Source organism: Homo sapiens, chromosome 3 (genome assembly GCF_000001405.40).
Source record: "Homo sapiens chromosome 3, GRCh38.p14 Primary Assembly".
NCBI lineage: Eukaryota > Metazoa > Chordata > Mammalia > Primates > Hominidae > Homo > Homo sapiens.
Genome location: NC_000003.12, coordinates 86,958,476 through 86,971,486, shown reverse-complemented (window position 1 = coordinate 86,971,486; position 13,011 = coordinate 86,958,476). Strand labels below are relative to the sequence as shown.

Here is a 13,011-nt window from a genome sequence, read left to right as displayed (position 1 = left end):
TGAAGAACACCATTTCCTAGATTTCCCCAAGTGTTTTGAGATCGATGGAGATGTTGTGAGAGAGGGAATTGACTGTGAATAGCTGTGTGACCACAGGATGAATGGGATGAATGGTCATGATCATAGCTCTGGTGCCCAGCTGAAGGGGAGAGAATAGAAGAGCTTGCAGTGCTGCTGCCACAGCCTTTAGGGGAGAGGAAATGTTCACACACCACAGTAATGCCGAATTATGTTAACCAAATGATATATGTGGTGGTTGACTGAAGTTTTTTAAGCTTTCCCTGAGGCAAGAAAACTATGGCCTGATATTTATAGAGAGAACATAGATAATGTCAGAGTTTTGAATATTCTTATTTTAAAATACTTCTTAAGATATCCTCCATTCATACCCTTCATTCAATGGAAAGATCTAGCAAGGTTCTTTTATGTGGAACTCAGTATAAAAATACTCTCTTAAACTCACATGACTAACATCTTTAGAAAATGTCTTCTTCTGTAAATAAAAATAATCCATAGGGCACTTCACAGACTGTTAGCAGTATTAAGCCGTAGATAATTTGAATTAATGAGTTCAAATACTTCATTTTCTTAGTGAAAGAAAGTAAACCATGGAAAGATCAATGGGTCCATATTGGGTGATAAAATGAGATAGGGTAAGACCTAGGATCAGAGCTGGGCTCCTTGGTCTCCCAGCCCAGTGCTTGTTTAGTTATACAACACTGTAGGCAACAGGCTACAGGTGGAGGCACTGATCTTTCCACAAACGGATTTGACTGTGTCACTTACTAGATTAAAACCCTTCAAAGCCCATTGAGACCCTGCCACCTCAGAATAGAATTTACATTCAGTACCATGGCCAGCAAGTCTACACCCATCTTGGTCCTCATTTCAATAGTCTCAATTTTTCTGTTGCCACCTTCTGCCTATGGAACTCTTTTTGTCTTTCAAATGCTGCTGCTGTCATATGTGTGTGTGTGTGTGTGTGTGTGTGTGTGTGTGTGTGCGTGTGTGTAATATATGGCCTTTTCTTATGTGCTGATCCATTTGCCTAAAGCTTACTTCCCAGGGCTAGCCCCCACTCAGTCTGTCAGCTTCCACTTATCACTCTCTAAGCTGGGTCGGGGCTCTCTGTGCTTCCTGTTGGGAGAATACCTACCGTGTCACCTTGCACATGTCTGTTTTTACTTATCTATCCTTCTGCAGATTGTGACTAAAAATGATGTCCATTTGGTCATCCCTGACGCCTATGTTTGATACATAGTAGGTCGTGTATAAATGTGTTATTACGATTGAGTAGGAAATTGAACTGATGAAGAGTTAGGGGATCGTTTTCTTTCTTATTCGTCTCTAAGTGCTATTCTTTGATATTTCCCTCTCCCCAAAATACTTCCTCAAACCCATGACTTCTACTTGAATTTCCTCCACTCATCATTTCCATAGGATCTTCACCAAATTCGAGATGTTGAGGTTCACAGTTACAATTGCGCCCTCTTGTGGCACTTTATGAAGAGGCCCAGCCATTGGCCATTTAGGCCACCTGGCTTCAAAGCCTAGTCCCATTCTTGCCATCTTAAGCCTTAGGCTTCTTCTCTACTGGGATTTTCTCATCATGGGAATAATAACAATAACTACCCCATAGGCCTGGAATGAAACTCCTATGAGATTATCCATGAAAAGCCCCTGGAAAAATGTTGGGCATTTGATACTGTCATTAAATATTGACCATTTTTATTCTCGGTCTAGAGACTCCCAGATCTCCACAGAAAATAAATAAATAAATAAATAAATAAATAAATAAATAAATAAATAAAATGAGGTTGGAATACACTCTTCTTAATGGAAAATGAGTGTTAGTGAGTATAAGTAATTGTAATCTTACTTCCATTGTTACCTTCGGCATTAAAATGTTTCATTTAAATGAAAATTGTATTTGCATTTAGAAGTTGGTAAAAATGATCATGTCCAACTTATACAAACCTCATTTATGGCATAAGATTTCTTTACCAGTGAAGTGGGTAGATATGACCTCCTCTTAGGCCTAATGGCTGCAAGGTACTCAGAAGGAAATGAAATTTTTCAATCCCCAAATTGCAAACCTTAGCACAGACTGTGACGGCATAAGCCAAGCAAAGCAAATGGAGGGAGGCTCATTTAACACTTTGGATCTTGCACATGGACCCATTGGCTTGCGAGCCCAGAGGCCAACCTGGTATCAATTCACCCCTGTTTGGGGAGAATAAGAGTGCATGCTAATTTGACTGCTTGTAAAATATTATTGGACAATTAGAGTGGACAATTAGAGGCAAGTCTATCCCAAAACTGAGTCTTATGTTAATAATGTTTTTTATTTTCTGTCTTCTCAGACAGCTCAGCTCTCTCAAGCCAGCGGAATAGTTTCCCAACTTCCTTTTGGACCAGCTCTTACCAGCCCCCACCTGCACCTTGTTTGGGGGGAGTTCATCCTGACTTCCAGGTCACTGGACCCCCTGGCACCTTTTCTGCAGCTGATCCCAGTCCTTGGCCGGGACACAACCTGCATCAGACTGGCCCAGCCCCTCCCCCTGCTGTGTCTGAGTCCTGGCCTTATCCTTTGACATCTCAGGTGAGCCCATCCTACAGCCATATGCATGACGTGTACATGCGGCACCACCACCCTCATGCCCACATGCACCACCGCCACCGCCACCATCATCACCATCACCACCCTCCTGCTGGCTCTGCCCTGGATCCATCCTATGGGCCTCTGCTGATGCCTTCAGTGCATGCGGCCAGGATTCCTGCTCCCCAGTGTGACATCACAAAGACAGAACCAACTACAGTCACCTCTGCTACCTCAGCATGGGCTGGAGCCTTTCATGGAACAGTAGACATAGTGCCCAGCGTGGGATTCGATACAGGTAAGCTGCTGGATTTCTTTCTTCCTATAACAAGATAAAGTTAATTTAAGAAAGGGTGGAAATTTGTTTTGAAATTATTTTTTCTTATCTGTAAAGTTAAACTTTACCAACATGTTTATGGAACCTAGCCATTTTGCAATAATTTCTGCATTCCTGCAGAAACTGGTATGACTAGCTCATGAAATCCAGCCTGAGAAAGGTCTCAGAGCTTTTCTCTCATATCTTAGGTTAGTAGTCTGTTCCTTTGAAATGGAATCTCTGGTACCTTCTGTTTAAAAAGAAATGAGCCCATTATTTAAATCTCCCATGTCTCTGAGCATTATACCATGTGTCAGGCCTAACAGAATTCAGAAATGGTGCACTTCAGTAATTTTTCTTTCCTTTCTTTTTTTGTTAGGCCTTATGTATGACTTATAAAAACTGGTTTCTGAAATATAGTCTATAGTGTAGCCTTTTGAACAAGAATTAGGGAACATATTTTAAAAGAATGATTTTTTTCTTCATTTTCTTCCTCCTCTCCCCTCCTCTGCCCTCCGTTCCCTGACTTTATCCTCCTTTGCCTTTCCTTCTTTTCTCTTATTCCTCCTCCTTTGTTCCTCTCCTCTCTCCCTGTCTCTGATTTAAATAATACAAGACTTAAAAGACTACTATAAAATTTATATTCAACAGATTTAGAAACTAATAGTAAGGAAATGATTTCTTCACAGAGCATTCATCTCCTGTCTGGAATTCAATAGTTCTGAAGGTTCTGTGTCAAATGTCTGAGCTTGATTTTTGGACCAGACTGGTCATATTAATAGTATTCATAGTTCTGAGCTCATGAAATCATAGGCATCAGAGCCCAAAACGACAAATTGATCATTGTATCCCTGGAGTCCAAAGTAGTGGGTCCCAGGTTCTTTTGCTAGAACATTTTGTGGCACATTGGAACTCTCTTTCCAAAAGCTTAAAGAAATTCTTTCCTTCCTTAGCTTTTCTGTAGTGTGGAGAACCCTTAATCATGTGCTGGTTCACAACAAATAATTCCCCAGAGTCATAAATGCTCAGCTTTATTTTACCTCTCCCGTGACATGAGTGGAACGTTCTTATTTTGGTTAACTTTTCTCCACTGAGCTTTCCATTGTTGATCATTGCCCCATCTAACACATTTCAGCTTCCTATTGAGACTGGGTTCAAGCTGCTTTTCTAAACAAAGTATCAGGGGACTTGGTAATCCCTCTGCAGATGCGTGTGTGATGGCACAGCAGGCACAGGCTTCCCTTCTTTCTTTGCCACATACTAACAAAATAAAGACAACTTGGGAGTCATTTGATGCCTGAGGCCAGATCTTATTAGAGTTCCCAATTTGGCAGCTGCCTTCATGGACAGCAGGTCTCAGGAGGCTCTTCTCTGTTTTATGTGGTACTTATGTGGCAACAGCAACAATGCTCTTAGCAGGCAAAGGGCGTGTTCTTCCCTCTATGAATTCTACCAATAAGGGGGGAAATGGATGTGATTATTGCTCTTTCATTTTGAGAGCCTACTTTTGTACTTGTTCACTTTGGTGTGAGCTTGATTCACTCACTTGTTACAGAATTTCAGCTTGAAATAATCTCATCAAGATGAAAAGCCATTCTCACACCTTTTGGAAATAGACAAGAGGGTTTTTGTTCCCTGGAAATTCTTGAGAGGACCCAGTTGGATATCATTTATAATAACTCTTCATACTTACAGAGCTATGAATGAGCATTTATTACTCACAATATAAGGCATTACCTGGGGTACTATATATATATATATATATATATATATATATATATATATATATATATATATACACACACACACTATTACTTTAAGTTCTTAAACTAAATCTGAGATAGACCTTGTTAGTTTCATTTATGAATAAGAAACCTGAGGCTCAGAAAACTACTTGCTTAAATTACATTGTTATGTGTCCAAGCTGAAGTTTGAACTAAGACGTGTCCCTCTCTGAGAGATTGCTGGGATAACATCTCCTTGTATAAGTAAATCAGATAAAATTAGGTGAATTCAACTATTAAAATGGTTAATAGTGAAAGATGAAGGTTTTCCTATTGCATGTGTGGCATGCTGCCCTTTGTCAGCATGGGTTTAGGACAGTAATCAAGATTCGTTTCATAAATTTTGACCCAATTGAGAAAACAAAGGAATCATGAAAATAAAGATAAAATTATTAGCATAATCATTGATCAGGCAGAATTGGAGATTCTAGGTTAGACTTAATGCCACAGTTAGACCTCCTACTGCCTTCAGCTAAATTTAGATTCTGGAACATGCAGTTCTGGGGAAAATCTAGAGTTCAGAGAAGATTCCCGTAGACACCTTCCTTGTTATACAGCTTAGAGCTCCGTTACTGTGAAGAGACTGATGATTGCTCAGATTTGTCTCTGAAAAACGTAATCCAAGGCCTAAGCCTTGTGTGTGTCCCTACAAAAGGCACAAGCAGGAGGACAATGCACCATCATGCATCGAGGCTGGCCCGAAAAAGAGACAGTGGGAGGGGCTGAGCCATATGTGGTCATTTTATTCTGCTAAACTCAGATATAATGACAAATATTACATCTCTCTATCTTTGGGAGGAGTTAGAGAGGGGTGTTGTACGTCAATTTTTCTAGGAAACAGACTCTGAGACTCAGATTTGCTTGTAGACAATTTATGGGGTAATGTTCTCAGGGCAACATCTTTGGAGAATGAGAGATTTGGGCAGAAGTCTCACTGATGAAGTCAATAGAGGCCTGGATTCTACAAGGAGCTCTGGAGTGAGATGGTTCTTCATAACTGTTCTGCCTGGGGTCAAGGGGGTTGGGCTTTTACATTCCTGAATTGACCAGTTAGAAGTTGTGATCTGCCTCTGGTAAGGGGACATGATATTGGGCCAGGTGGGTTTGTTCAGCTGAAGGCAATTCCCAAAGAGAGAAGCAACTGAGAGTCAGGAATTGCCGGCAACAAGAGAATAAATGCCTCGGTCCTAAAGGGAGAGGGATCTGGTTGCACACCACACTGTCCTCTAAAGAGGGACAGCAAAGGGGTAGTAGCTACTGTACCACTTTTCCAACTCCTTTTAAATGAACAGAAGTTTCTGCATAGTAGGACCAAGCTAGGAAGGGGTAGCAGAGCAGTTGAGAACAGTGAAAGTTGGGTCCCTCTGTGTAACCTGTGCCACATTGGCCTGAACATACAGCCAGAAACGGTGACTCAGCTGAAAACTCAGCATCGATATTGGGTGACTACTGAGCAGCCAAGAGAAGAACCTTCATACAGTCATAAAACTTCTCAAAGTCCAGGTGACCGGGACCATTAAAATATAGGTCATTTTCACATCCATTAGAAGATAAATACATTAAACCAACTATTTTGAGAAGAAGTTGGTAAAAACATGAAATTTGCTTTCTTTCCTTTTTTTTTTTTTCTTTTGATGGAGTCTGGCTCTGTTGCCCAGGCTGGAGTGCAGTGGCGCAATTTCAGCTCACCGCAACCTTCACTTCCTGGGTTCAAGTGATTCTCCTGCCTCAGCCTCCCGAGTAGCTGGGACTACAGGTGCATGCCACTATGCCCGGCTAATTTTGTATTTTTAGTAGAGATGGGGTTTCACTATGTTGGCCAGGCTGGTCTCGAACTCCTGACCTCATCATCTGCCCACCTTGGCCTCCCAAAGTGCTGGGATTACAGGCGTGAGCCACTTGCGCCGGCCTAAAAACATGAAATTTTCATTAGTAGAGAAATGATGTCTTAGTGCTTTCAAGCTGTTATAATAAAATACCATACACTGTGTAGCTTATAAACAACAGAAATTTACTGTCATAGTTTTGAAGGCTGGGAAATCCAAGATCAAGGTTCTAAAAGATTTGATGTCTGGTAAGGGCCTGTTTTCTAGATGCCCATCTTTTCATTGTAACTTCATGTGGTGAAACGGGCAAAGTAATCTTCAGGATCTCTTTTATAAGGGCACTAATGCCATTCATGAGGCCTCCACCCTCATAACCTAATTACCTTCTAAGGCTCGCTTTCTTATACCATCACCTTGGGGGTTAGGATTTCAACATCTGAATTTATTTGGAGGGGAGTCATAAACATTCAATTCATTGCAAATAATTTAATAATTTTAGGTTCATTTTTTCACTGTATCTACTTGAAGAAATTAAGAAAACCTTGAAATCTAGAAGGTTGAACGTCATATAATGTGTAGTGACAAACGAAAGTTTTATAATATCATGTATGGCATAATCCAGGGGTTAGCAAAATTTTTCTGTAAAGAAACAGATAAAAATATTTTATGCTTTGCCATGCCATACAGGTCTCTGTTACCACTACCTAATTCTACTCTGCTCATGTGGTACAGAAACAGCTATAGACAAAACTTATATGAAGATAGTTGTGTTCCAATAAAACTTTATTGGTTGGTGCTGAAATTTGAGTTTTATATATTTCTCACGTGTCATCAAATGCTACTCTGCTTTTTTTCTTCTTTTCTTCCAACCACTGAAAAATTCACTCCTGCATTCTTAATTCATGGGTATACATAAACAGGTGATGCTGAATTTGGCCTGTGGGTAGTTGCTGACCCTCAGTATCATCCCTGTGTATAATTTTTATCTTCTACACACATTCATGCAGGTGGGTGCATGCACTCCCTCAATGAAAATTATCTTGAAGTGTATATCCCAACTTTTAATTGTAGTTACTCCTGGAGAGTTAGTGGACGGCATGAGCTTTGAAGCCAGACTGCCTGATTTTGTCAGCCCAGCTCTGCCACTTACAAAAGAAGCAGACTTTGGACCAATGACTTTACCCTCCTGCTACTTCAACTTCTTTATCTGTAAACAATGCCTAATAGGATTGTTTTGAGATTAAATTAGTTCATGCAGTAAAGCATTTACAAATATACCAGGCATATAACATGTACTCTGTAAATTCTAGCTATGTAAGAGAAGATGGACAGACTTACACTTTATTTAACTTCTAAAAATTTATTATTTAGATATATTTCACAATAGCATATGCTTCACCAGTTTAATAAGTATAACTGATTGGTCTTATAATATATTCACAATATTGTGCAACCTTCTAATTAGAGAACATTCCATCACTGTAACAAGAACTCCTATTCCTCTTAGGAATAACTCCCAATTTTCCCTATCCGCTATGCCTGGCAAATATTAGTCTACTTTCTACTTCTGTGGATTTTCTTATTTTGGAAATTTCATACAAATGGAATTATATGATATGTGGCTTTTTGTGTCTTTTTTCACTTTGTGTAATGTTTTCAAGTTTCATGCGTGTTGTAGCATCTATCATAAAGTCATTCTTTTTTGGGGCTAGGTACGATTTCATTGGGTGGATAATACCACATTTTGTTTATGCATTTGATGCATAAGCAAATGAATATGGACATTTGATTTGTTTCTACTTTTCGGCTAATAGGAATAATACTGTGATGAACACTCATGTGCAAGGTTTTGTTTTGTTTTGTTTTGAGACAGAGTTTCACTCTTATCTCCCAGGCTGGAGTGCAATGGCGAGATCTTGACTCACTGCAACCTCTGCCTCCCGAGTTCAACCAATTGTCCTGCCTCAGCCACCTGAGTAGCTGGAATTACAGGCATCTGCCACCACGCCCGGCTAATTTTTTGTATTTTTAGTAGATAGTCACTATTTTGAATAGTGAAGGCTGGCTTCCCTATTTTGAATAGTGAAGGCTGGCTTCCCTATTTTGAATAGTGAAGGCTGGCTTCCCTATTTTGGCCAGGCTGGTCTCAAACTCCTGACCTCGTGATCCACCTGCCTCGGACTCCCAAGGTGCTGGGATTACAGGTGTGAGCCACTGTGTCCAGCCCTCATGTACAAATTTTTAAGTAAATGTGTGTTTAATTCTCTTGGAAATATATCTAGGAGTAGAACTGTGGGGTTAAGAGAACCTCACTTTTTATTTTATGTATTTCTATATTTTTTGAATTTTTTTCAAAGAGCATATATATGCAATTTTTAAAATATTTAAATTTAAATTTTTGTTTTTTAAATTTTTTTTTAGTATTTAAATTGTTAAGATTCATTACAACATATTATAGTAGAGTTTGAGGTTTGGTAGGCAAAACTGCCATAGGAATGAAGTAAGGTGGTCCATTTTTTCCGAAGGGCTGAGTGGTGGTGAGGACAGTGAGGTGCCTCTGGCACAAAATTTAAAAGGATCCATACTGTGAGGGCTGTGCAAGTGTATGCCACCCCATATTTTGCACCCAGGGCTCCTTATTCCTCTAACCTCTGTCTTGGTGTTGCTTTGCTGTCATGCGAGCTCACTCTTACTTTTTGCTCCCTCTGTTGAACAGGTATTACATACAGGTACCTTGAAATGATCAGTATGGTATGATCATAAGTCATTTGTATTTGCCCTCCACGTGAAAAATGCTCATCTTTACCAAGAGGCTGTTATCACAAATCTCACATTAGGCTTTTTCCCTTTCCTTTATCAGTCTTTAAACTGAGTTTCATGGGTTCCATAGGAAAAATACTCAGAATGTGATAATAAGGGCTTAATTGAAAAAAGAAAAGATCTATTATCAAATGAATTTATTTACATTGCCTACCATATACCTCTTAGAGATCACAGTTCCCTATAGCATATAAAATGTTTTATATATTCTTCAGTAAAAAAGCATTTTAAATTGTGTTTAGCAGGAGATTGTTTCACTCTGCTTTTCTGATGAACACATTTTTTGAGGGTGTACTTATTAACTTCTCATTTAGCTTTGTCACTTCTGCATAATAGAAGCCATAGTTTTCAACTTTTGTGAATGACTTTCACCTTACATTAAGCTGCGTGTAACCTAGGTTAACAAGGGTAGTTGGGGCCAGAGATAACACCTAGAATAGTACAATGAATAAGGGAGGGTCACAGGATGTGGAGGACTGATTTCAGCTATCTCAGAGTATTATACTGGGCCCCTTTGTGTATAAGGAAGGAGAGAGTTAAATGTGGAAATATTTGTGATCGTGTACAACATATTACCAGGCATTCACGTGTGAATGCAAGAATATGTCTCCTCTTATCTTCCTCAGATTTTTTAGTGATAACATTAAGTAAATTCTGACATAGTAGTCCTCTTTTAGTGGTCATAATCATTCCGGGCATTTTAGTGAAATGTTGTCATTCTTACTTCCTGTTGTTGCCAATAATTTACCTAATGTAAGACATACAATCTTGTACATTCCAGCCAAGTTTAAATTAATTTTTCAAGTGAAGATTTGTTAATAAGGGCTTTTTACTGAAATTTAAACTTGACTTTCATAATTTCCACTTCATCCACTTTATTTAAATGTACCAAAAACAAAAGTAGTCATGCTTTGTGGTGTGACTTCTTTATAAACACAAGCTGCTCATGGCATGAGATTGTATTCATCTGTAGATCCACAGATTTATTTTTCTTGGGATCCCTCATGTTATTTTAGCTACAATTTTGTTATAAATATCTATTTTTACTTTGATGAATGTCACAACAATGCAATATACAGTATACATAAACAACTTAGAATTGAGGTATTCATATACTTTTTACTACAATATATTTAGGTAACCTAATATTAAACAAACAAAACAACATCATATGCATATATATATATATATATATATATATATATATATCACAATTACTTTTGCATAACCTAATATTTCGCAGGTCCATGAAATCTAGAGCTTAGAGGGAGTAAACATATGTTGATGTACCTTTTGCCTCTCAAAAAAACTAGGCATTAATTTGCGTAAGTAGCCACCTAATAGTGGATTTTATGAGTGAGTCATTATATGAGCTGGCCCCAAACTGTGATTATATCCAGATATTAAACACTATCTGGTTCATCTCTTACTTAGCAAGATACCTTTAGATACAAGTGAAATCAAGACTGTGTGTCACAGACGGGGACAATGGTTATTTGCCAGACAGAGGGAACAAAACTACAATAGCTACTAGTCCACAAATTACTTGCAAAGTACAGACTGAGAAGTTTGCCATAAGCACAGGAAGTTGTTTCTAGTATTCTCTCTGAACAGACTTTCATAGCAATAAACTTTACTCTCTAATCTGTGAATGAAGTTTATCTGTTAAGAAAACTGAAAAAAATTGTTTGAGGGTCTCCATTTTGATATTAGATAGGAAGAGCTGGGTACTACAGAGGAAGTCAGGAGTAGATAAATGTCCTAATCTATGCTTTTCTCTTCATGGACAGCTTGTGCCTGATGATATCATAAAAACAGAATCACATTAAGTGGTATTCCGAATTATTTATGGTTTAAGGCCAGTAAACTATATTTAAAAACAACATTCTGATTTAATCTGAATATTCTGTGAAAGGGACATTATTCACAAGTGACAAAAATTATATTTTAATGGGTTTAAGTTCTCAAAATTGTTATATACTATTCACTTTGGAACATACTAATTAAACTACCTTAGTGTTTAAGATTATGACGGTTGGCACTACAATGATGCTTTATAATGAAATCTATTAATTAAAAACATAAATATCTTGGTTTTGTTAGGTACAGGCAATACAAAAAACCGGGTGAGAATAGCGAATATACTAGAGAAGCAAATGGAGAGGCAGTTTCTCTCCATGAAAGAGAGATAGATCTATTTAATTCTTACTTTTCCATTCCACCTGTAAATTTGCCAAAACTTAACTCACATCTCAAGACCTATGATTTCTTTTAGGTGGTCTGGTGCTAACCCACCTGGGTAAAAATCACTAGTTGCAGGAAAGTTCTACAAATAACCTTGCTAAATAACACACTTTAAAAGTTAGTTACGATATGTTAATTTCATTGGGGTACTAATGTTATTAAAATTATGGAGCTTTATACCCAGTAACATCTACAATACCCAGTTACATTTACAAAAAGGACTAAAGGAAACCTAGATTTACAACTCAAGACCCTTGAATATTTACTAAATATAATAATGCTCCAATTCCAGGCTTTACAATGAAATGGAGATGAATCATTAGCCTCAATAATAAACAGAATAGTTTGATTTATGTTAAAATATTAAAGCACTGTGATATTTTTCACCCTAAAGATGAGAGGGCATCAAAATATCATATATTGTAGATGCTCAACTAAAAATAGTTTACTTCCTTCTACTTCACTTCTTCTCAGGGAGCATACATTAGCCATCTGAATTCTGAGGGCTATGGCATTAGGGATTCATTGAAGCCTTTCCTGACAATATTAGTAATCTGTATAAATGATTAGGAAGTTATGAAGATGTTTAAAAATGGTATTAAAAATATAATAGGCATAAAAGTTTACTTATAATCATTTGATCTCAGTATGTAGGCAGGTAAAATGACAGTTCTATATGGAAGCCAGCCCTAGGACTATATGATTTTTTTCCATCTCATTATTATGATTCAAGAAAGATTTATAGAATTTTGTGTACCTACCTTGAGGGCATTATCTCAGCTAGGATAGTTAGAACATCATAAAGCAATAGGTGCAGATTGTTTTTAAAAATACCAGGCAGAATGTTTATGAATAATGGAAATACTTTTTCTGGACTTTGTTGTCATTATTGAGTTTATGATGATTTGGTAACAATAAAAATTTTTCTAATCAACACCCGATTGCTTCACACTTTCTACAAAACTTTTTCTTTTTCTCTGGCATATGTCATAAGCCTATTTTCCACTGAGGAAAAAAACATCAGAGTTATGTTAAAATATTTACAAACTCTTGATTGGTGTTAGTTGTGTAGGGCACGTGTCCAGAATGACAATTTCATGACCAGAAGGGTAATGGAAACCATCTTTGAGATGCATGCAAAATGCCAGGAGATCCCAGCCTGTGAGATCTGCATGAAAAGTAACTGGATGATGAATAAGAGGGGAGAAATGCATTCCAGAGCATTGCTGTCAGTTTCAAGTATTCAAGCCTGGATGCTGCAGGACCTTAATGAAATTCCCCTGCTCTCTGAGATCCATGTAGCTATCATGCCCATGGGCTTCTGTGGGCTTTCCTCCATAAAATGGTGCCATAATGTCACAATGCCTAAAGTATGGGGATTTGCCTCAGATTCTTCTCCTACTTGGTGGAACAGGTGCAGGA

The 13,011-nt window shown here is 38.1% G+C and overlaps 1 protein-coding gene across 4 annotated transcripts in view; it reads left to right on the top strand.

Moving 5' to 3' along the window:
- The window catches only part of VGLL3 (vestigial like family member 3), a 53,177-nt gene that overhangs the window by 19,663 nt on the left and 20,503 nt on the right, over positions 1 to 13,011 (top strand). For 3 of the 4 annotated variants that reach the window (NM_001320494.2, XM_006713138.5, NM_016206.4), the window contains exon 3: positions 2,364 to 2,897. In NM_001320494.2, coding sequence (NP_001307423.1) covers positions 2,364 to 2,897 — 534 coding nt within the window. Of the gene's footprint in view, positions 1 to 2,363; positions 2,898 to 8,419; positions 9,582 to 13,011 lie in introns of those variants that run through there. The other variant, NM_001320493.2, reaches the window with a different exon arrangement.